At 51.0% G+C, this 23,362-nt stretch overlaps 1 protein-coding gene and 1 long non-coding RNA gene across 4 annotated transcripts in view, besides 5 other annotated features; one reads left to right on the forward strand and one right to left on the reverse strand.

Annotated features, from left to right (window-relative positions):
- Positions 1-1,608: 1,608 nt before the first annotated feature.
- ANGPT4 (angiopoietin 4) overlaps positions 1,609-23,362 on the reverse strand; it is a 46,435-nt gene continuing 24,681 nt past the window's right edge. The window contains exons 2-9 of one of the 3 annotated variants that reach the window (NM_015985.4): positions 21,922-22,077; positions 20,027-20,148; positions 16,787-17,034; positions 12,880-12,995; positions 11,456-11,557; positions 9,870-10,036; positions 5,993-6,123; positions 1,609-4,829 (exon numbers count right to left, since the gene is read on the reverse strand). In NM_015985.4, coding sequence (NP_057069.1) covers positions 4,669-4,829; positions 5,993-6,123; positions 9,870-10,036; positions 11,456-11,557; positions 12,880-12,995; positions 16,787-17,034; positions 20,027-20,148; positions 21,922-22,077 — 1,203 coding nt within the window. In that variant the 3' untranslated portion in view covers positions 1,609-4,668. The remainder of the gene's footprint in view (positions 4,830-5,992; positions 6,124-9,869; positions 10,037-11,455; positions 11,558-12,879; positions 12,996-16,786; positions 17,035-20,026; positions 20,149-21,921; positions 22,078-23,362) is intronic. The other 2 variants (XM_011529239.4, NM_001322809.2) reach the window with 2 other exon arrangements.
- LOC124904854 (uncharacterized) lies at positions 2,661-7,874 on the forward strand. Its single transcript, XR_007067485.1, has 3 exons — positions 2,661-2,744; positions 4,606-5,850; positions 6,858-7,874. It is a non-coding gene; the product is annotated as an uncharacterized LOC124904854 (long non-coding RNA).
- Positions 4,228-4,728: an enhancer, noted in NCBI's record as "H3K4me1 hESC enhancer chr20:853162-853662 (GRCh37/hg19 assembly coordinates)". NCBI's record gives its function as "activates a minimal SCP1, AML or CMV promoter by ChIP-STARR-seq in naive H9 embryonic stem cells {active_cell/tissue: H9 hESC(naive)}" and the evidence as "EXISTENCE:reporter gene assay evidence [ECO:0000049][PMID:30033119]".
- Positions 4,729-5,229: an enhancer, noted in NCBI's record as "H3K4me1 hESC enhancer chr20:853663-854163 (GRCh37/hg19 assembly coordinates)". NCBI's record gives its function as "activates a minimal SCP1, AML or CMV promoter by ChIP-STARR-seq in naive H9 embryonic stem cells {active_cell/tissue: H9 hESC(naive)}" and the evidence as "EXISTENCE:reporter gene assay evidence [ECO:0000049][PMID:30033119]".
- Positions 6,230-6,299: an enhancer, noted in NCBI's record as "active region_17448". NCBI's record gives its function as "activates an Ori minimal core promoter by ATAC-STARR-seq in GM12878 lymphoblastoid cells {active_cell/tissue: GM12878}" and the evidence as "EXISTENCE:reporter gene assay evidence [ECO:0000049][PMID:35858748]".
- Positions 10,552-10,752: a silencer, noted in NCBI's record as "peak4114 fragment used in MPRA reporter construct". NCBI's record gives its function as "represses an SCP1 promoter by STARR-seq MPRAs in K562 erythroleukemia cells {active_cell/tissue: K562}" and the evidence as "EXISTENCE:reporter gene assay evidence [ECO:0000049][PMID:32103011]".
- Positions 16,997-17,496: an enhancer, noted in NCBI's record as "H3K4me1 hESC enhancer chr20:865931-866430 (GRCh37/hg19 assembly coordinates)". NCBI's record gives its function as "activates a minimal SCP1, AML or CMV promoter by ChIP-STARR-seq in primed H9 embryonic stem cells {active_cell/tissue: H9 hESC(primed)}" and the evidence as "EXISTENCE:reporter gene assay evidence [ECO:0000049][PMID:30033119]".

Below are 23,362 nucleotides of genomic sequence, written 5' to 3' on the forward strand. Positions count from 1 at the left end.
TGGATTATTTGTGGTCATCATTTGCTAATCCTTATACCTGTGCCATGTTGGATTAATTATTACAGCTTTGTGAGCTGCTTTATTAAGGAGGGGAAGTAGAGTGAACAAATCATGGCAAGTCACTTCACCTCATCTTCTCATTTAAGGATGCTGATACTGGTGTTGCCAAGGCGACGCTGTCAGCTTTCGGAAGCATCTTTAAATGGGAGAGGCGAAGGCCCACACAGATCGAGGCGGAGGAAAACTCAGAAAAAAGGCTCAAATCCCTCGGCCGCAGAGACAAACCATCCTGGTGGGGACCATCCCTCACCCCCCGCACATGGCCACTTTCTACCTCACCTGTGGTGGTTGTCTCTGGGGTGTACTCAGGGAACTCTCTCCCCAGTGTGGAAACTGCCTTTGCTGGGAACAACGCAGAGATCTCAGAAATGATGGATCCATCAAGTGCCAGTGGGAGAGACTGAGTGGTCTTGGAGGCCTTTCCAGGAAGTTCCTCCTGCCCTTGGTACACGAGTTTGGTGGTAGATGCCCAGATGCCCAGAGTGCTCTGGGAGAGGAAGGCAGCTCACAAATGCAAATGCGCTGGAGGTGGTGCTTGGCTGTGCTGCCTTGGATGAGACCCTTTCCCTCTCTGAGCCCTAATTTCTTTTTTCTTTTTCTTTTTCTTTTTTTTTTTTTTTTTTGAGACAGAGTCTGGTTCTATCGCCCAGGCTGGAGTGCAGTGACAAGATGTCGGCTCAGTGCAACCTCCGCCTCCCGGTTCAAGCAATTCTTCTGCCTCAGGCTCCTGAGGAGCTGGGGCTACAGGCATGTGTCACCATGCCCAGCTAGTTTTTGTATCTTTAGTAGAGATGGGGTTTCACCATGTTGCCCAGGGTGGTCTTGAACTTCTGAGCTCAGGCAACCCACCAGCCTTGGCCTCCCAAAGTGCTAGGATTACAGACTAGGAGCCACTGTGCCCGGTGCCTAATTTCTTCATCACTGAAATGGGAAGAAAACTAACCTGGTGCAGGGAGAGGTGACAAGTGTTTTCCATAGGAACCCGCAGATGCAGGTATCCTAGAGGCTGGCACCTATGAGCTGTGGCCCCCAGGAGACCCAGTCTAGGCTCGAGACCACACCAGCCGTGCCCTCTACAGTGCCTTGTGCTGCCCAGGATCCTCAGGTTGGTCTTGTCTGCAGCCATTGTGAGTCAGCCTCACTGTCAGAAGGGCTTTCAGAGGTTGCTAGGTGCTCTGTCCATGGGAAACTGAGGTTCAGAGAGGGCCAGGGGCTCTGATCCAATGGCAGAGCCAGACTGATAACAGGGTCTAATATTCCTGGGCAGGACACAGCTGTGCCCTTGATAGTCAGAGGCAATCTGGGATGAACTGGATCCTGGGGTCAGGACCTGGGGACAGGGAGGCCGAGAGAGGGCACAGAGGTGGAGAGAAGAGAGATGAGAGCCAGGGACAGGGAACGAGGGAAGGCTGCCTAGCATCCCTGTTTCCTGAAGTCATGACTTGGGTGTCACTGACCCCACTGCTGGTGCCAGGCATGATCATGAGACCGAGGTCTGGTCAAGCAGAGTAAGAGTGATAAGCATAGGGATGGACACAAGACCAATCCTGGCTGCAGAAAATCATTCCTTTACTGGAATCATGGAGACGAGGGAGCTCCCCGGGTCAGGGATGCTGAGCTGGGAGGACATGAGCCTGGGGCTGCCAGAGCCTTCTTGTGAGGAAAGATCCTGGCTGAGAATGAAGTCAACGGGGCAGATGGAGGGGCTGAGAGGTGGAGCTGACATCATTTGAGCCTCTGGATCTAACCTCACTTGCCTTTACCCTTAGACTTTCCAGTTATGTGAGTCAATTTATTCCTTAGGGCTAGAATTTCTATCCCTTATACCTGAGTCCTGGCATGGAAGAGGAAGGAAGGTAAGAAAGAAGGATGAATATTTAAGAACAGGTGTCTGAGGCTGGGTATGGTGGCTCATGCCTGTAATCCCAGCACTTTGGGAGGCTGAGGCAGGTGGATCACATGAGGCCAGGAGTTTGAGACCAGCCTGGCCAACATGGTGAAAACCCGTTTCTACTAAAAATACAAAAGTTTTCCGGGCGTGGTGGTAGGCGTCTGTAATCCCATTACTCAGGAGGCTGAGGTAGGAGAATCACTTGAACCAGGAGGCAGAGATTGCAGTGATCTGAGATCATGCCACTGCACTCCAGCCTGGGTGACAGAGTGAGACTCTGTCTCAAAAAAATAAAATAAAATTACATAAAGAACAGGTGTCTGAGGATAACTCAAATCAGCTTCCTGCCCCCTTATAAAATGGGAGTAGAGAGGGACTTGGGCCTTCAACCCACCCAGAGGAGTTCTGTCCCTGGGCCTCACAGCTTTGCCCTGTCTCCTCTCTAGCTTGCAGTCAGCCTAGAAACTACAATAGAAAAATAAATGATGTGGATACAAAAATAAAATGCCTTTTCCTCACCTGAGTGCAGGAGAAGGGGCGGCATGTGCTGGGGAATGCCTTCCTCACCCCATTCTCCTCTTTGAGGACAAACATTTATTAGGCACCTGCTTCATGCCAGGCTCTATTAAGAAGATGACATACATGGTCTCATTTCCTCCTTGCCATAGCCCAGCCAGGAAGGAATATTATCATCTCCATTTTACAGATGGGAAAACTGAGGCTTTGATGATGTGAAGATAACTGGTGCCTTGAGAGGCTGAGCCACTGGACCAAAGTGTCAGAGCTGGAGCAGGTTTGTCCGACTCCAAAGCCCTGCCCACCACACCACACTGCACACAGTAGAGGCTAAATAAAGGTCTGCTGGGCAAATGCTGCTTAAGGCGATTTGAGCTCTCTGGGCAGCAATCTGCCCCTAAAGATTTCCCATCATGCCTGAAATGCCACCATTAGCAACCATGTCCTTTGAGTCTTGAAGGGGAAGAGTGCTAATTCCCAGGAATGAGATCAAAGTCAGTCTGTGCTGGGTTTACTCAGGGATCGGCTGAGAGTGGGACTCAGGGCTGGGGCGAGCCAGGGGGATGAAGGGGTCCCATTCCCATTGGCTCAGTCTCATCCAGGAGAAAACCTTCTGAGGACAGAGGTGTATCCTGGCGGTAGGGCAGGTGGGCTCCTGGCTATGCCTGGGTGTTGGCTGATGACAACAGGGCAGACAGCATGACACAGTGATGGGGGCAGGTGACAGAGTAGCTGTGGATCCTTTCTGACTCCATCCTCTGAAAGAAGCTATGAGGGCCCTGGTCTCCCAAACTCAGGCAGAGGCCTTATCTCCTCCCCTGCAGCTCCCCACCTACCACCACAGAGGCAGCATCACTGCTGGATGGGGAAGGGAGGGAGGCTAGGGGTTAGGGCTTGGAGGCAGAGAGGATCTGGACTTGGAGACAGATGTCCTGCCTAACAGTCCCTGTAATTGAGCCTGGGGGAGTTGAGGTTACAGGGAGTCCTAAGGGAAGCCACCCAGGTAGAGATCAGCTTCCTGGGACTTGAAGGAGCCTTGGAGGACATGAGCCTATAACACAGACAGGGACCTAGTTCTAGACCCTTCTTCAGGGATGGTATCTGTTTTAACTGAAAGGTTATTTCCAGTTGTTTTTAGAGGTTGTTTGAGGCTGTCACTGTGGCCCTTGTAGCCAAAAAGGGTGAGTATAGCTGGGGTGGGGATGGGGTCGTAGGGCTCCTCCTTATGCCAGGGGAGCACTAGCTTTGTCCAAGAGCATCTACAGTCCTGTGAGATGCTCTGGGACAAACCGAGCCCATTTTCAAATAAGTAAATTTGGAGAAAGCTGCCCACTCTAGCCCCTTCATGGGTAGTCACAAGGCACTTGGCCATATTAAAGGCTCTGATCAGTCCTGCAGTGAAGAGTGCCTGTTCACTTTGACTTAACCTGCTGTTTCCTTTTCTCATTGCTCATAGGTACTTTTAGAGACAAGCCATAGTTATTCCCTGTGACACATCCTCTAGGACATGCTGGAGGTGAAGGAGCATGTCCTTTTGGGTCTCCTAAAGACCCTGAGCTCCAAACATTGGAGCCTAGAAGTGGTGAAGTGGTAAAGCCTAGAAGTGGTGAAGTCTAAAGACCCTGAGATCTAGGGTCATTAGAACCTAGAAGTGGTGAAGTGTGAAGGGGAAATAATGATTAACCCACCCACTAAGGGGTGGATGCAGCCCCTTCAGACTTGAAAAGAAAGTTCAAGGACATCTCAAGACTAGAAAATCTTGGAACAGGAGCTTAGAATGGGAGATGGCCTTCTTGCCAATCCAAGGGAGAGAACCTGGGCCATCTGGGCAGCTTCCGATGTGCAAATACATTCCCACCTGCCTGCAACCCCACCATTGGTCATGGGAATCAAGTTTGGTCTGTTCTCAGCCCATTCAAGGTACTGTGACCCTCAGGCAGGGAGCCCCTGAAGGGGGAGGGAGAGAAGAGGGGCGAGGACTACATCAGAGGGATGGGCCCCGAACACCCTCCATGTCACAGACGGAGGGGAGTTGGGGGGCAGATGACCCTTCTGGACTTCTGGGTCAAGGAGGGCTGGCTCAGGAAGCCCAGGGTGTCAGGGAAGGCGGTGGCACAGTGTCTTGCATCTGGGTCCAGGTTGTCCAGGAGTGCCAAGTCCGAGCTTCTCCTGTGTGGTCCAGCCTCTGGCACAGCTGCTCGTTAGATGTCCAAAGGCCGTATCATCATGCGAGAGGCACGCAGTGAGTAGCTGGGGCCCTTGAAGTAGTGCCAGCGGATGCCGTCCATCTTGTACTTGTTGTCGGGAGCGTGGTAGTAGACGCCGTTGAGGTTTGACAGGCCACAGGCGTCAAACCACCACCCTGGTGGAAGAGGGAGGACAGGCGCTTGGTGGAGGTGGGAGCCCAGCCAGTGGCAAGAGGGCAGCCCCTGTGTCCCAAAGAGAACAAAGACTAATCGGGGCTGTTGCCTCCTCTGGGAAGCCAGCTGGCTGGGGATGGGGCTGGGTGGGAGTGGGGGTGGGGTGGACAACAGACCCTCTGCTCAGCCGGGGCCTCTAGAGGGCAGCAAGGGGCTCTGGCCACTCCTCGAGCCCCCTTGCTCCTCCCGGCCTTCTCCCTGAGCCCTTGGCGTCCCTGTCTTCCTCCCTCACTGAACCTGTCTTTCCAGCTCCCCAACCTCCCCTCATCGCTCTGCTCACTGCTTTCTAGTGGTCTCTGTCACTCTCTCTGAGTCTCTCACTCTCCAGGTTCATCTCTTTCTCTCTTATGGTCTCTGTGCGTGGGTCTGTCTCTGTGTGTCCCATTGTGTTCATCTTTCTCTGATGGTCTTTGTCCCTCTCTGCCTTTCGTGTCTCTGGCCCTCCCTTCCTCTGGGCCCCCATCTTTCACATGCTGTGTTTGTCTCCCGGCCTCTCCTTGGGCTAAGTCTTTCTCCCCCATCTCCCTCTGTACTTCTCTGCCCCAGTATAGCTCTCCATCTGCTGCTCAATGACTCTGACAGCCTTGGTGTCTCTCTCTTTCTCCATCTGTCCTCTGTGTCTCAGAAGGTCTCTCCCCCTGTCTCTGTTCTTCTTACTTTGTCTCTGTCTCCCATTCACCCCACTTCCTGTTCTCTGACCTCTGTGCCTACCAAGGAACACTGCCTGAGCCACAGCTGGTGTGGAGCTGCCCCTCTGCCTCCCTCTGGTCTCCTGATCCTGGTTCGGCTTGCCTGGGGTTGGGACTGATAGGGTATAGGGTGCCTCCCCCCCGGGGCCCTGCACTCAGTGTTTCTTTAGCCTTGTCTCTGAGGAAAACTGGTGGTGCCAGCTTTAGGAGGAGGTGAGACCTGGAGGGGACTTCAAGGACTCAATGGGGGAAGGCACCGAAGGGGCACAGCCAGGTGAGCTTATGGGTGGGCAAGGCCCAGACCTGCACCCATCCTCCTGACAGCACCTGGGCGCACAAGAACCTGGGGAGGGAATGGGAGTGTCAATCTGGGTGAGCCTGTGGGTGGGCGGAGCTTCACCCCACCCTGCACCTACCTCCAGACATCACTTGGGCACACTTGCAGAGACAGTGGTCGTTGTCTGAGTCAAGGGTGCTAAAGCTGGTGTTCTGCAGGACCAGGCTGCTCTGGCGCCCTGCTGAGCCGCTGTACCCGACCACAGAAAGCCTGGAGGCCACCCAGAGGTGGTGGTGGCAGAAGGGCCCAGAGTCAGGTTGGGGCTGTGTCGAGCAAGAACTTCCCCAGTGGCTTTGTCCCAGGCTGGGCTTCCCCTCCAGGTGTTCTTGGAGGGACAGCCCCAGCCTGGGTGGAGTGCTTGGGCTGTTTCCCTTCCTGGATTGCCTTCCCTGCCTGCTGCCTCCCAGGGACAAAGCACTTACTGTATGCCAGGCCTCCCCTATCTCACTGAACCTGAGTCTTGGAGAGAAGTGATAATGGTCACAATAATGATAATAATGGCTAATACATATACATTTTTTTCTTTAGAGACAGCAACTTGCTCTGTTGCCAGGCTGGAGTGCAGTGGCACAATCACGGCTCATTACAACCTTGACCTCTTGGGCTCAAGCAATCCTCCCACCTCAGTCTCCTGAGTAAATGGGACAATAGGCACGGGCCACCATGCCCAGCTAATGTTTGTATTTTTTGTAAAATACAAACATAGGGTCTCACTATGTTGCCCAGGCTGGTCTTGAACACCTGAGCTCAAGCAGTCTGCCTGCCTTGGCCTCCCAAAGCACTGGGATTACAGATGTGAGCCACCGTGCCCGGCAACGTTTCTTTTTCTTTCTTTTTTTTCTATTCTTTGCATCTACTATGTGTTCAAAGTGCTTTGCATAGGTTAACTCATTCTCCTTTAATCCTCACAACACCCTATTTCCATTTTACACATGCGAAAACAGAAATCCCAAGAGCCAAAGAAACCTGCTCAAGTCTCAGAATGAATGAGGGTCAGAGCCACATGCCAGCCTAGTGTGGCCTGACTTGGGAGTCTACGTGCATTTTGTTCCCCAGCTGATGATGATCTGGCAACCCCAGCCCCATCGCACCTCCTCACATTCACCCACCTCTTCCAAGAAGCCTTCCCTGACTACACCAGCCCCCATGGATCTGGGCTCCAGGGCACCCCAGCTCTGCAGCTTCGACATCTGCTGCCAGCCAGGTGAGGATTTCTATTTCTTTGCCAGGCTCTGTGGCCTTGGTGGGCATGTCCAAGCCTGCCTGGTGATGAAGACCATGAGATCTGGGGGCAGAAAGCCTGGATTCAAATTCCAGCTCTACCACTTAGAGCTGCATGGCCTTGGAGGATTGGCTCACCCCACTGAGCCTCAGTTTCTTCATCTGTTCCAGTGGTAATGATAGTGAAATTAGCAGTGCTGCCCTCGTTTATTATTGATTTGGTGATGTCAGTGTGTGAAGTGTGCAGAGCAGTGTCACGGGGTGAGTGCTCAACATTCAGTGCTTGTTATTATTTGGCCCTTGGCAGATGGCTGGGCCTGGTTGGAGAGAATGCGGGGTGTTTGTATGGCAGGGTTGGGGGAGGCTGCACTGGCAGCTGAAGTAGGGAGCCAATTTGGGAGCAATTAAGAAGGTCCTGCTGAGGCTGGGTAGGGTGGCTCACGCCTGTAATCCCCGCACTTTGGGAGGCTGAGGCAGGCTGATTGCTTGAGCCCAGGAGTTCGAGATCAGCCTGGGCAACATAGGGAAACCCTGTTTCTATAAAAAATACAAAAATTAGCTGGGCATGGTGGTGCATGCCTGTAATTCCAGCTACTTGGGAGGCTGAGGTGGGAAGGTCACTGGTCACTGGAGCCTGGGAGGTCTGGGAGGTCAGGGCTGCAGTGAGCTGTGATCATGCCACTGCACTCCAGCCTGGGCAACAGAGTAAGCCCTGTCTCAAAAAAAAAAAAAAAAAAAAAGAAGGTCTTGCTGGGTGGAGGCAAGTGGGTGGCAGATGTGGCCAGGGCAGCTCAAGGAAGCTCTTGTACCCTCAGGGCAGGGCCTGAGAAATTCCCCAGTGGGAATTCAGAGGGAATACAGAGCCTGGGTATATGGTTGGCTCAGTCCCCACACCTCCAGTCATAGATTGTGTCTGTCGCCAGGGAAATGAGACTTAATTATTCTCTGTGTAGAAAAGACTTGGGAGGCTCCCTCAGCTTCCTTTTAGGCACTTACTATGTCTGGGGATGGGAACAGCCGTGCTCCCAGAAAGCAGTCCAGTCAAGGGTGTGAAAGGCTGCCACGAGACAGTGATCGTAATATTGTTTGCTGAGCGTTTACTACATGCCAGGCACTGTGTTAATGCTTCATGTGCAGTATCTCATTCAGGCCTCATCACACCCTTTTTGAGGTAGGTATGCCTAAAGCACCCATTCTACAGATGAAACCGTGAAGGGACTTGCTCAGGGTCACTCAGGGAAGTAGGGATGGAGTCGGGATTTAAGCCTTTGCTTTAGTGGCCAGTGGCTTAAATGGGACTCAGCATAGTGTTGTAGCTACTCACTGGTCAGGTGTGAGGAGTAGGGGGACATCCAGGGAATTTTTCATTCAGCTCTGGACCTTGCATTATCAGGTTGGTATGGATCCCATAAGGAGGGATGTCAGAACCTGGGCAACATAGGGAAACCCTGTTTCTATAAAAAATACAAAAATCAGCTGGGCATGGTAGTGCATGCCTGTAATCCCAGCTACTTGGGAGGCTGAGGTGGGAAGGTCACTGGAGCCTGGGAGGTCTGGGAGGTCAAGGCTACAGTGAGCTGTGATCATGCCACTGCACTCCAGCCTGGGCAACAGAGTGAGACCCTGCCTCAAAAAAGCCTTTGCTTTGGTGGCCAGTGGCTTAAATGGGACTCAGCTGGAGGAAACAGTGGGGGCATATCACTGAGAAGTTCCCAGAAGTGGAATCAGGCATAAAGTTCAGGAGGACAGAGAGTCATTCAGAGATTCCTTGTGGGGAAGCGACCTTCCCACCAGTGGAGGTATTCCAGCACGGCTGGATGATGATTGCAACTATGGAGGGAATCTATGAAGAACCAGATGACACGTGAGATTTTTTGCAGCCCTGTGAGTGTGAATCCTGGTTCAGAGATAGCCAGGACCCAGGCTTATCTAAAAGATCCTTAAATTTCTCTGAGAGGCAATATCATGTTGTGGAGACATCATGAGTTTTGACAGCAGGGAGATCTGAGTTCAAATTCCAGCTCATTTAACTTGTAACTTTGGGCAGGATACTTAAACTTGGCATCTCAGTTTCCATATTACTAAAGTAGGTACAGTAATGCCTACTTCAAAGTGTTGTGGGGAAGATTAAATGGAATAATGGTGCCTGGAACACAGTAGGTGCTCAATAAATGCTAGTTCCTTTTCCCAAATATACCAAGAACCAGGCTGAGGAAGGGGTGAGAAACCTTGATGATCTTACAAGATCGTCATGTTTAAGCTCATCCTGCTATTGAAGAAGCAGAAGCTCAGAGAAGCCAGACTGACTTGTCCAAGTTCCCAAAGCAAGCTGGAGCAAGGCCACAATGAGTGCAGGAATTTCAACTTCTGGCCCAGGGACCCTTCCACCCAGCCCCAGGGCATAGGACAGGCTGGGCAAGTCACCTCCTTTTGCTTCTGGGTCTCTGTAAAAAGGCTGACTTGGGGTGACTGACCTTGGAAGACCCCTTCTTGCTCCTCGGATGGCAGCACCAATGACATTCTTTCCACTCCACCCAGTGGCTAGGACATGCTGAGTGCTAACCAGCCACCTCCAGATCCCATGACGTGCACCCAAATGGGGGACAGATGGTAGGAACAGGAGACACCCAGAGACTGACCGTTGGAGCAGACTCTGTAGACACTAGCCTGGGGACCCCAGCCCGCCCACTAGCTGAAGACCCCAGCCCCCACAACGGCCTGGGCCCCGAACCCACCTGTATAGCTGGTTCTCACTGCCCAGGTGGAAATGTTCGTACTGGGCATAGGCCTCGTGGCCTTCCCAGTCTTGCAGCTCCACACGCAGAGAGTAGGCTGCCCTTCTGGTGAGCTGGTGCACCACTTCATTGCCCAGCCAGTGCTCCCCAGCTGGGTCTCCGAAGCCCTATAGGGAGGGGAGCGTGGGGTGAGACTCATGCTGAGGAGGAGGCCATGTCCCTGGCTGAGGAGCTGGGCTGGGCCAGGCTCCAGGGCTACTTATACAAAACCACTGTGCTTAATGATCGAGTTCATAAGTACAGTGTAGGCAGGACTGGGAGTAGGAGCCCTCCACCTGCTAGAGGGAAAAGACTAAGGCTTTTGTAAGTGTAAAAGCCTGTTAAAAGTTATTGAAATCACATTCCTCTGAAGTTCAAGAACAGGAAAAAGTAATATTTGGTGACTACCTTTGGTGGAGTATTGACTGGGAGGGGGCACAAAGTGGGCTTCTGGGGTGCTGGGAGTGTTGTACATCTAGCACTGAATGGTGGTCACGTGGTTAAATACATATCTAAAGGCTCACTGAGCCTTACACTTTATTTGTGCGCTTAGACACATGTACGTTAAACCTCAACAAAAATTAAATAAAATATTTCAATCAGCTACATAAATAGTAGAGCAAACTTTGTTCAGTGACAGCGCAGCCACTGCAAGATTTCAGCAACACAGAAATGTAAAACTGAGAGTGTGGGGAATGTCATGTCCCAATGCCCTTGGACAGAACAAGAATTCAGCACCAAGGACAGGGGCACACCCAAGGCCCGCTCCCCAATTTAGTCACGATGCAATGCGGGTTAGCCTGATGGTTAATATTCAGGGTTCTTTTGTGTATTTCTGCACCTGGACACCCTATTCCTCCTTGCCATTTTAATGGTTGTTTAAAGCCCAATTAGTTCAAAACACTCATAACTTAATTTGGTATTTATTTTTAAGTATTCCTTAAATGAACAGCAAGCAGACGCAAATAATAGAACTGCTGTATCACTTTGTGGGTATCTTTTTCTATTTCTTTGGCTTTGAAAACTTTAAGAGCTTTTAAGTATTTTAAGTCAGCTTGGCAAAAAATCCTTTATTCAAAACCTAATTAAAAAATTGGAAAACAATCGGGCTTCTCATCTGATAAAATACATGTGATCTTTGGGCCTGCAATTCCTCGTTAATGAATCTCTCCTGCAGATATGATCATAGACGTATGAAAAGACAAGAAACTTCATTAAAGCAACGCAGTCAGGGTTGACTGGGGGGATTTTTATTCTGTCTCCTCCTTTGTATTCTTTAAAAAATTAGAAATGTATATGTATTTTTTTAAAAAAAATTAAAACAAAAATAAAGCTAAACTTTTTTTCTTAGAACATATGTCAGAACTTTCAGAAAGAACATTCAAATTCAGGTGATGGGGTCCCATAAAGCAGATGTGCACTGTCAGCTTTAGATGAGTTGATTTTTTCTGGGGGAGGAATGAGGGCAAAGCAGTCCCCTTCCAACAGCCCAGCCCCAGCCCCAGGTTTCAGAGCAGAATGGCCCCTCCCCAAGGCAGCAGGGCTACCTGTTTGTAATCCTTCCAGTTCCGCTGAAAATTCACGGTGCCATTCTCACGGCGCTGGATGAGGGTCCACCTGCCTCCACTGCTCTGCAGGTCACAGAACACCTGGAGGGGGTGGGCAAGGCACAGCTGGGAGCCCTTGGAGGTAGCCAGAGGCCAGGCCTGTGCTAGCCCAAATGTGGCTAAGCAGACAGACCCCCACAGAGCAACAGGTGAGCCTGGGGGTCCTGGGCATCAGAAAGATCCAGGCTTAAATTCCCCACCCATTGTCATCATTTTTCTAAAGTGGTGGGTAAGGAATGACCTCTCAGAGCCTTCCTCTCATTTGTAAAATGGAGATTCATACCTTAACCTCTTTGTGCCTCAGTCTCTCATCTACCAACTGGGGTTGTGAAAATTAAACGAGATGAGTCACGTAAAGTGTTTAGAACAGTGCCTGGCAGTACTAGGTAAACGGAAGCTCGACCTCTTTTTGTTGAAAGGAGAGGTTAGCAGGTGTGTGAGAAGTGTAAAAGACAACCTGGAGACAAACAGAGGCATTCTCCTTAGTATATTAAGAGGGGGTGAAAGGAAATAGAGCAATGGTAATACTAGCAATTTGAGGGCCGAGGAGGGAGGATCGCTTGAGCTCAGGAGTTTCAGACCAGCCTGGGAAACACAGGGAGACTTTGTCCCTACAAAATGTTTAAAAATATTAGCCAGGCCATGGTGGCATGTGTCTGTGGTCCCAGCTACTTGGGAGGCTGAGGCAGGAGGATCACTCGAGCCCAGGAGGTCAAGGCTGCAGTGAGCTGTGATCATGCCATTGCACTCCAGCCTGGGCACCAGAGCAAGACCCTGTCTCAAAAAAAAAAAGGGAATTATGAAGTAGGAATCTGCTAGTTGTTTCCCTTCTAGGCCTGGCTCTCAGACCCTCCCTCCTGACATCCGTGCTCTTCTCTGTCACCCTTCTTATCGGATGACTTGACCTTAAATTTTAGGACAACCTTGGGAGCCACTGATTGAAAATGGTGGCACCTCTATTAGCCCTGGTTTCTAATTTCCCACATGGAGCAGAACCCCAACTCCTGCCTTCAACTGGACTATATGTAAACTAGAAAGAAACGTCTTTGGGCTAAGGCCCTGGAATTTTGGGGGTTGTTTGTAATATCAGCTATCATCATCTTAACCAACACTGAACTATTTTGTGCTGTTCCAGTTAAAGCACCTCTGAAGTGATGCTGGTTAAGGATGCACTTCCAACTTTGGGAACTTCTGCTTATCCCCACAATCTGATCCCTGACTGCTGGGAAGTCAAAGCCACCCCTACACCTCTGGTATTTCAGATACTGGACAAAGCCTGATCCCGATGGGGTGCGGGGTGTCTGTTTGGGAAGCCCTTGGCTCAGCACCCTCTAACAGCCACAGTTCCCAGGGAGCCCCCTAACCTTCCTGGGCTTCGTTGCATTGGACACCTGGATGGTGTAGACACCACTGGCACTGGCCCCAGAGCGCTGGATCTCTGCACAGTCCTGGAACACCTGCTCACCTGCCATTATGAAGGCTGCAAAGGGACAACACAAAAGTCAGTTGGAGGTGGGCAAGGAAAGAGAGAAGGGGCCAAGTGGGCATGCCTGCCTGCTTTGTGCCAGGTTCTGGGTTGGGAGGTGCTGGGGACAGGGAGATGAGTCAGACCTGGGAAGATTTCGTAGAGGAGGTGACAGTAAGCTGGAACCTGTGTAATGAGCAGGAGTTGCCCAGTGGAGAAGGGGAAGGTGTTCCAGGCGGAAGAAACAGCATATGCAAAGGCCCCAAGGTAGGAAGGGCCCTAGTGTGTGCAGAGGACAGGGCATGGGGAGGGGAACTAAGGCTGAGGCCAAGGAGAGGAAATGACTCACACCGTGAGAGAGGAGTTGAGACCAGGGAGGCTGCTTGCTGTATGATGCAACTGAGAGGGTAGAACAAGGCTGGCACAGAGAAGGTGGGGAAGGAAAAGGAGAGACGAAGCTGAGATTTCAGCAGGGCCAAGTCAGCCGTGAGTGCCAGGCTGCGGAGCCCAGATTCTCTGGGCTGAGAAAGAGCACTCTGTCCAGAGTGTGGAGGGGGGCCTGGAGGGGATGAGACTCAAAGCTGGGAGGCCAGAGAGGAGGCTGCTAGAGTTTTCTGGGAGAGAGTTACTGGGGCCTGAACTCCAGTGAGGCACTTCCCATTTCACAGACCAGGAAACTGAGGCCCAAGAGTGAGGCAACTGGCCCAAGGGCACACAGCCAGGTAAGGCAGAACCTTCCTTCTTTGGAGCTCCCTTGGGTGGGAAGCTGTGGGCTCCCCTTCATAGCCCACCCTTTTGGCTGTATCTCCCTGCTGCCCTGGGCATATGCTCCCTTATTCTGTCCTCCCTTGAAGCTGACTGCTGGCCTTAAAGGGCCCCTGTTTCTTCCCTCTGGACTACATGAGATCGGGATAGTATTAATGACTAAAACCTACCAGGGGTTTCTAGGCCTGGCCTGGAAAAAGTGACTGTTGACAAACAAAGTGCAGAGATTTAAAATCTCCTCTGTCTCAATTAGTGGAATCCAGTTAGAGGTTTGAACTATGATTCTACCAGAATCCAATCTCTCTGGGTAGCCAGGTACCCAGGATGGGGCTAAAATTCCAGATGGATAGGTTGTCAACACCAGTGAGGAACCAGGAGGCTACCACAGGGTGGGACTTCCTGGTTTGGCTTTACATCTGAACTTCAGGGATCCCAGATCCTGGATCTGGGGCACTTGTCCAGAGAAGGCTATTGCTCTCATGTCACAAATGAGATGACTAAGACCCCCAAATCAATTCCAGTTCACTCACAAGCATTTCCTGGGCAGTGGAGACCCCTGCCCCACCTGTTGGCACCCCCTCAGCTCCCCACAGGGAATTGGAGTCCAGCCAAGCATGAGGAGGCTGTTGGCCTCAAGGTGAGCAGGGATGGGCTGAACCTCACCCAGTAAGGCAAGGACAGAGCCAGGGTTGGCCTGAGATTTCCAGCCACCCTTTCCAAGGCTCTGCTCACTGTTATTTTCCTTAGTCTACAACAATATCAATAACAATAACAACAATAATATCAACACAAAAAGTGAAATACTCACCATGTATTGTAGTGTTTCCAAGGTGTCATGTAATGCCAGGGGTAGTTTGGGGCCAGGAAAAATATTTTTGGGAGGCATAAGAATAGGATGGACTGATATTGATATGCAACAGTTTGATCTGGTCCTCCTCTGAATATCTGGGCTGGTAATTTGTACCAGTTTCCCTCGCTTTTGTGCATAGGCACTGTGCTGAACCCTTTTGTATGCATGAACTCATCCGATTCTCTGTGCAAGAACTCTATGAGATTATTATTCCCGTTTTACAAGTAAGAAAAATTGAGGCTCTGAGAAGTTAAATAAATGACTTGTATGAAGTTCCAGTGCTAATTAATAAGTGAAGGAGCCAGGGCTTGAACTCCGGCCCATCTGACTGCAAAGCCAGTGCCCTTCCTCCTACACATCTTCCTTTGGATTTCCACCACTGAGCATATGTAAGGTTGGGCAAACAGCCTGCATGAACAATCGCTGCTTTTATATCATGCACAAGTTTGGTCTTTTCTGCCTGTGCCCATGTCCTTGTAACCTTCTGAACCAAACTCCCCAGTGCCTGGGAACATCAGAAGACTTGACTCTCTTCTCCTTTCACTAGCCTCCACCTGACTGGGACAAAGCCATGCAGAGAGCTAGTGCTCCCTTCCTGCTAGACTTCAAGGATGCCTGGTTCCTGTGCCCCATCTCCATCCAGCCCTCTCTTCTACACCTGGTGACTGAGCCTCTCCTTCAGTTTCTCCATCCAGAAGGGGGTGAAAGCAACTGCCTAGTGTCCTTCCCTGGTGATAGTGGAGCACGGGGGACAGGGTGTTTGGGCAAAAGGTGCCCAAGGTGAGGTGCCCAACACAACCTCCTACTCAGACGATTGAGCAGACATTCAGCCTCATCTGGGGACTGGGTTACCAGTGGGTTAGTGGGAGGCATTGGGCCCAGGCCCTGTGCCTTGGGCTGAGCTACAAGAAACCCACACATGGGATGAATTCAGGCAGCTCAAGGCCAGGTCTGTGCATACGCCAGTAATAGGTTCAGGTTAATCCACATGTCGCGATTTGGAAGGTGTCTACTTTTCCTACCTGTAGCTTCCTTAGGCCTCAAACCCCTACTCAGCTGGGTCTGCCAGACTGAGATGGAGCCAGGGTGGAATCTTCTGCCCTCAAATCCCTGTCAGCCCTGGTGGTGCCGGGAGCGCCATCACTATTGGGTCTTAAAGGCTTTCCAGCCTTCCACTATGGATCCAGGAGCAGCAGTAGCCCCTTTGGTCTTTCTCTCTCATCAGGACATCTCCACTCATGGTTCCAGTCAGAGCTTCTTGAAAGTAGTCCCACTCTGTTCAAAAGCCTCCCATGCCCCCTGCTAGCCTCAGGCTAAGAGCCCTTCTCCTTCGCACAGCCTTTGGACCTGTCTATTTTTATGGTCTGGAAACTTCAGGAACACTGATAGCTGAGCATCTGGCACATATTATGCACTCAAAAACCATGTATTTCTTTCTCCTTCCCTTTGGGACCCGTAAACCAGGGACTGGACATTTTTGCAAGAGACAGGAGCTGTGACTGTGCATTCACTGCTGTATCCCCAGCACCCAGCACTGGGCCTGCCACACAGTAAGTGCTTAGTAAATGTTTGTTGACTGAGTGATTGCAGCTGGGGCCAAGAATGCCTTGGACACCCCAAGTAGGCCGTGTTAGAAGGAGTCAGTGAGAGCCTGGGAGCCCAGCCCAGAATTGTTTTCTTGACCCAGAAGCCAGGGCCAGGGATGCCTCTTCACTTCTGTTTGGCCCTCTTGGGCTTAGGGGCAGGGGCATTAAGATGAGAGAGGTCCTTGGGGTGCATTGAGTCTAACCTCCCAGTTCCTCCCATTCTACAGCCAGGAAAACTGAGGCCCAGGGAGGGGTAGGACAAGCCCAAGAAAGTGGGGCTGGAGAATGAATCCTGGAGACCAAACTTGTCAGTCTGGATTGCTGTTGCCCTCATCCTCGCCTCCAAAACCCATGGGTAAACTGAGGCCAAGAGAGGGGCAGGGGCATGCCCAAGGTCACCCATGGAATCAGGGGACAGGGCCTGGATTGGGATTGTTGTTGACGCCATTATTACTGTTTATTGTTGTTTCTATTTCACAGATGGTCGGGGAGGGTGGGGCCCGCAATGGCTCCCAGGCGCCCAGAGACCCTGGAGGGTGAGCAGGGTCTCCCCTCCCCTCTCCTGCCCGTCTTTAGCCACACTGGGGCGCACACCGCTCACTCACCCGGGGCCGAGGCGTTAGCCCTTTCTTGCACCAGGTGCCGCAACAACACCAGCAGCTGGCGCAGGCTGTGCTGCTGGTCCTGCAGGAGGCTGGAGTTGTGCCTGACACCGCGCAGGCCGCGCTCGATGTTGGTGAGGGCGGCGCTCTGGCGGCTCAGCGTGTTCAGCAGCTTCGCCTTCTTGCTGAGGATGCTGGCCAGCTCCTCCTGCTGCTTGGTCTCCAGGGCCTGCAACCGCTTCTCGAGCGCGCTGCGGGGTAGGGGGCGCACAGAGGTGAGCCTGGCATCCTCGCGAAGCACGCACCCCCGCGCGCCTCCCCGGCCCTGGAGTCCCTGCAGCCCGACGATGAGACTCAAGTGTGGTGGAACGTCCTGTGCCCACTGTAGGCACAGATTGAGGAGGGGAGAAAAGAGATACCCGGCCCTGGAGTAATATAGATTGAGGTTTAGTGGAAGAAAGAGGTGGTGTGGGAGGGACACCAGCAACTGGGTAGCTATTATCAAATCCCAACTGTGCTTGCTTTTTGACCCAGCAGTCTACTCTCAGGAGTTATCCTCTAGGGAGCATGGTCAAGAATGGCCCTGGGGACTTGCTTGTAATAGAAAAACAAACTAACCAACCAACCAAAAAAGATATAGCCTAGATGCCCAAAAGCCAGGACTGGCTGAATCCGTTGCGTTTTGGCGTCCCTGGAAATGTTCCGCAGTCATGAAGGAGGAGGCATTTGCACAGAATTGGAAAGATGCCCAGGACTTGGGGCACATCAAGCCTAACCCCATGTGTGGCAAGAGAAGAAAGAAAGTATTAATGTAAATAAAGAGAAATGGGGTGAACATATAGGAGAAGGCTGGAAAGACCGCAGTGGTGCCTGTGTTTGGGAAGAATATGAAAGAAATTCCCTCAAGTGCTGTGACTTCTGCAGAGCAGGTTTGAGTGGATGAAGATGGAGAGGAGGAAGATGGGGGCAGGATGGAGGGCCCAACTTTCACTTTTATTTTGTACAGGTTCCTGTTGTCCGATGATATTATAATAATCAAGAGACATTTTTTGTAATGGATTTAGAAGCAAAGAGGAGTTTTTCAAAAGAAAGCCTTAGACTCAGCTCTTTCTTTTTGGACATTTTATCCTCCAGATTTACTCACATGTGTGTGAAATGAGATATGGAAATGTTACTCATCGTATCACTGGTTGGATTAGTAAAAGGCTGGAAGCAACCTCAATATCCATTAACTGGGGACTGGAGGAATAAAAGCAGGGACCACATATGGTGGAGCATTATAAAGGTGGAGAAAAAAATGAGCAAGCATGTCATGCAGTTATAGAATCTTTCCAAGGTAACTGAATAATAATTTGTAGAAACAAGGTATAAACAAGTAGTAGGCTACATTTGGGCTTAAAAAGGATAAAAATGGGAATGTACAGATGCTCCAAAATGTATGATGGGGCTATGTCCTAATAAAGCCATCGTAAGTTGAAAATGTCCTAAGTCAAAAACTCATTTAATACACCTAACCTGCTGAACATCCTAGCTTAGCCTAGACCATCTTAAACATGCTTAGAACACTTACATTAGCCTGTGATTGGGCACGATCATCTAGCACAAAACCTATTTTATAACAAAATGTTGAGTAGCTTATGTAAGGTATTGATATTGTACTGAAAGAGAAAAACCGAATGGTTGTATGGGTACTCAAAGTACGGTTTCTACTGCATGTGTATCACTTTCATACCACTGTTAAGTCACAAAATTGTAAGCCCAACCATTGTAAGTTAGCAATCTTCTGTATGTATGTGTTTGCATATTCATAAGAAACCCTGGAATGTCAGCTTATAGGATGTCAGCTTCACGAGGACAGGGGCTTTTGTCTCTTTGTTCACTTCTGTATCCACAGTGTCTACAATAGTGCCTGACACATGAAAAGAGTTTGAAAAATAATTGTTGGTTGAATGAATGGAAGGATACACAAGAAACTAGGAACAGTGGCTACCTCTGGCTTGGGTGGGTGGCTGAGAGACAGGGCTGGGAGGGAGACATTTTACTGTATATCCACTTGTGCCAACTCATTCTGCAGACTAAGAAATTGAGTCCAGCTAGGGCAGAAGAAATTTCCTCTGGACTCCCAATTATGCTGCAGGAAAAGAGAGAATTGGGGCACACTGAAATTCTAGAATTCCTGCCCTGTCTTCATGGGCCAAGAGTTTACCGATGACATCCTCCATCCTCACTGATTTCTAGACACCTAGTGTTAATTTAGAGTCATTGAAAGTGTCCCAGTCCTTGCCACTGAGACCTTGGGTTGGGAGAATAAGAAGATGGGCAGATTGTCATTAATTGCACCCAGATTAGAGAGAGCTGGGGGATCTTATGGCCTTATCCTGAACCGGCATGTGAACAACAACATCTTGCCTGATTCACAGGCCTGTGGCTTGTTCAGTGGGTAGATTTTGCCTTCTCCAGAACCCTGACTTTGGCAGCTTTTTTTCTTCACTCAGCTTGAAACTGAGGTGAAATCAGCCTTAGCTGCCAGATTTTTCTGCTTTATCTAAACCTCATGACCGCTTTTTTTTTTTTTTTTTTGTAATTTAAAGGGTGTTCCCCTGATGCCCATTTGCTTATAAATGCAAAGACTCTCTGATAGTGTGGACAAGAACCTGGTAACTGTGGTTGTTTCTGGGAAAGGAATCGTAGATAGCACCAGATTTATTTATTTGCAAAGAAGTAAAGCCAATAAAGTTTACCGGATGAATAGTATGGTGGGTGAATTAGATCTCAATAAAGCTGTTAAAATTTACGAGATAAATAAAAGAAGGAGGAAGGAAGGAAGGAAGGAAGGAAAGGGAAAGAAAGAATCAGGGTGTCCTGGGCCCCAGGAAGATGCCTATCCCCTGTCCCACCCAGTGCAGGGGCCAGGCAATGTGTTTGCCTGGCTCCTAGCCCAGCCCCGTATCCACTCTCATTTCCAGCCTCAGTCTAGACTCCAACCCTGGTTTCAGTCCTTCCCCAGCAGGGGCTATTCCCAGCTCTAGTTTCAGCCCTAACTCCCAGGATACCTCCTTGCCCCAATCCTAATCCAAGCTCCTAGGTCTGGCTGCAGGCCCTATCCCAGACACCAGCCCACGTCCAGCTTCCGGTCCTGGCTCCAGCCCCAGTCCTAGCCCTGGCTCTGGTGCCTGCCCTAGGTCCTAAACTTGACTCCAGCCCCAGCCCCTGTCCTAGTCTGGTGCCAGGTGCCACACCCACCTGTTTTGGCCCTGAAGCTGCTGGAGCTTCTGCCTCTGTAGCAGCAGCTGGTTCTCCAGCTTGTTGGTGGACAGAAAGGTCTCTGGCATCTGGGCATCCATTCTTGATGTCTGGTTCAGGAGCTGCCCCAGCAAGCAGAAGCAGGTAGGGGGCTGCGTAAGCGCTACAGGAGCCCTGCCCAACCACCCACCTGCCCACAGGCCCTGCCACTCCAGAAACTTACCCATTTCCACTCTCCCAGTCGTAGTTCCTGTGGTTACTCACTCACAGGCCCTGACTTAAGCTTATTACCTGCTTCCTAAATTTGCCTTTCTCCATCACTGCAATGGCAGCTCCATTCTCCCTGATGCTTAGGCCCCAGGAGCTGTCAACCCTGTCCCCCACATCCAACTCATCTGCAGGTCCTGTCAGCCTTGCCTTCCAGGTGGCCCCTGACCACCTCTCTCCTGCTCTGTGGCCCTCACTCTGGCCCTGGACTGCTCCCTCATTGCTTGCAATCTATTCTCTACTCAGTAGCCTGGGGCTGCCTCTTAAAACATGTTTGCTCTGTTCAAAAGCTTCCTGTGGCTCCCATCTCATGTAGCGGAAATGCCCCAGTTCTCACCATGGCCTGCAAGGCCCTATGGTGTGATCTGTCCCTATCACTTCTCCAGCTCCTTGCCTGCCACTCTCCTCCTGGTCACTCCAGCATAGTGGTCTCCTGATGTTCTTGAACCTGCCAGCACGTCCATCCTCCCTCCGGGCCTTTGCACATGCTGCATCCCTTGTCTGGAGCACTCTCTGCAGTAAGCCTGGCTGCAGCCCTACCTTCTCCATGGCCCTTCCTGGCCTTGCTGTATGAGCTTGCAGCTCTCATCCCCCCCCACCACTCCCAATGCACCCCCTCTCTTGCTCTCTCTTCCATGCTATTTTCTCCTTAGCGCTGTCACTGGCTAACATATGCAGACATGTGTTGCTTAATGACGGAAAGATGTTGTAAGAAAGTCGTCATCATGCAATTTCGTCATTGTGCAAACATCATAGTGTGTACTTACACAAATCTAGATGGTATAGCCGCCTGCATACCTAGGCTATATGAGACAGCCTATTGCTCCTAAGCTACAAATCCATACAGCATGTGACTGCACCCAATACTGTAGGCAGTTATAACACAGTGGGAAGTATTTGTGTATGCATATCTAAACACAGAAAAGGTACAATAAAAACAGCATACGATACTCTTATGGGACTGCTGTTGTCTATGTGGCAAGTTGTTGACTGGAACATTAAGCAGTGCATAACCATATATGTCACTTATCTTTTCATTTTCAGGGGAAGCTTCACAGGAGTAGGAATGTATGCCTGCTTTGTTTCCTGCTGTATACTAGACACCAGTCTTCTCAAGCAGTGCCTGGCACACGGGGGATCAAACAAACAAATGGGCACAAACTTGTGTCTATTTGTTATTCACTTTTTCATCCACTGACTTCCCTACCCTTCATTTATTCACTAGTTCCTTCCCTGCTCTTTGCTGCTCAGATACCTCTTCTCTCCAAGTCCTTGGCCCCAGAGGCCCAGTGAATTGTTTCTTATCCATCTTCCCCTGGCACATTGTAAGTCCTCTGAGGGCAAGGGAGCTGTGCTACTATACCCCTCATTCCAGTGCCCAGCACAGACCCAGGCACTGAAGTTACAGAGGCAGAAAAGCCAAGCCCAGCATCCACCCCCCAGGGCTCATAGCTTGGAGAGAGATAGTTTTATGACAAGTTCATCAGGGAGGAGGGACCCGGGGGGCTACAGGCCCAGAGGAGGCCTTGACCCTACTCAGGGTCAGAGATCAAGGTAAGATGACTGGGGCTACGAACCAGCCTGGCCAGCCACAGGCCCTCAGTGCCCACTCAGTCACCCTCTGTTACCTGAGCCTCCATGTCGGTCAGCTTGCGGATCTGGGCAGTGGTCTGGTTCAGGAGGCTGGTGCCCAGCTCTAGCATGGGGGCCGTCTGATTCTGGGCCATTTGCTGCTGGACCTGCTCCAGCTTCGACCTCAAGATCGTCTTGATGGCCCTCTCTAGCTGTGGGAGACCATGGGCTGGGGTCACGGGGGAGGGGCGGGGGAAGCCCCCTGTCCCTCCCACGTGTCACCATGGGAGGGCACTGAGCAGCCACTTGAGGCCTCCCTGGCTCAGAACATGCCGGGCCAGGTCAGGCCACCATTACGTCTTGCCTGGACTATCCCAGTAGATTTTTCCCTGGGAGGGATTTATATGCCTGTTTTGTCTGCCTCTCTGCTTCCATCTTTGTCCCCTGCACAGTCCATCCCCCACTAGGCAGCCAGAGGGATCCTGCTAAACCTAAGTCAAGTCACACTCCTCCTTTGCTCAAAATCTTTCCAGGGTTCCTATCTCACGCAGAGGAAAAGCCATGACTGCAGGTTCCTCCGTGACTGGGCCTGCCACCACACTCTCATTCCTCTCCTATTCCCCTCTCCCTCACTCACTTCAATCCCGATGCAATGGCTCCATGACATCCCTCTAACGAAGCAAGCATGTGCCCACAGCTGTTCCCTCACTGTTCCCTCTGGAATCCTCCCCCAACCCTGATCCGCATCTGCGTGGCACACCTCCTCATGCTGTTTCAGCTTTCTTCATACCACTTATCACCACCTGACTTTTTAAAATCACTATCTCTCTTTTTATCTGTCTGTTGTCTGTTTCTCTCTCTAGAATGTCAATTCCATGAAGCCAGGGACTTGGTTTTGCTCACTGCCTTGTTTCTATGTTTAGCACAATGCATGGTGCACAGTGAGTGCTCATAAATGCGCGTTCAATGAATTGATGAAAAAGGGGAAACAGCAAGGGTCAGAGCACAGCGCCCAATCACATGCCCCTTCACCAGCTTCCTCAGGGTGAGTCAGCCAGCAGGGAGTGGGAATGCATCTCTCCCTTGTACAAAGAGTTTGCAGGTCCATTGGCCAAGCTGTGTTTTCTATCTTCAGATCCCCTCTATCTGCCAAATGGGGCTGGACTGGCCAGTCTCCAAGGGTTCTCCCAGCTCTGATGTTCTGGGATCCCACATGCAAATGTTCATTTCTTTGACAGGGCTGCTCTCTTTCCCAAGGGCAGGAGAGCTGGTCTGGCATGACACCAGTATGCTGTTGTAAAGGTGAACAGTGTGTTCTCAGGGCTCGGTGCCTGCAGGCAGAGAGCCAGCTCCCCTCCACCATTGCCTCTCCATTCGGCACACATGCTGGCCTCTCACCATGCCCCCCACCCCTGTCCCTGGCTCCTTCCCTTGCCCTCTCACTCAGTCTTTCAGAAGCCAGCTGGACAGCTCTCAGGGTCCTTGGGAAGATGGGTG

Source organism: Homo sapiens, chromosome 20 (genome assembly GCF_000001405.40).
Source record: "Homo sapiens chromosome 20, GRCh38.p14 Primary Assembly".
In the NCBI taxonomy this organism is placed as follows: domain Eukaryota; kingdom Metazoa; phylum Chordata; class Mammalia; order Primates; family Hominidae; genus Homo; species Homo sapiens.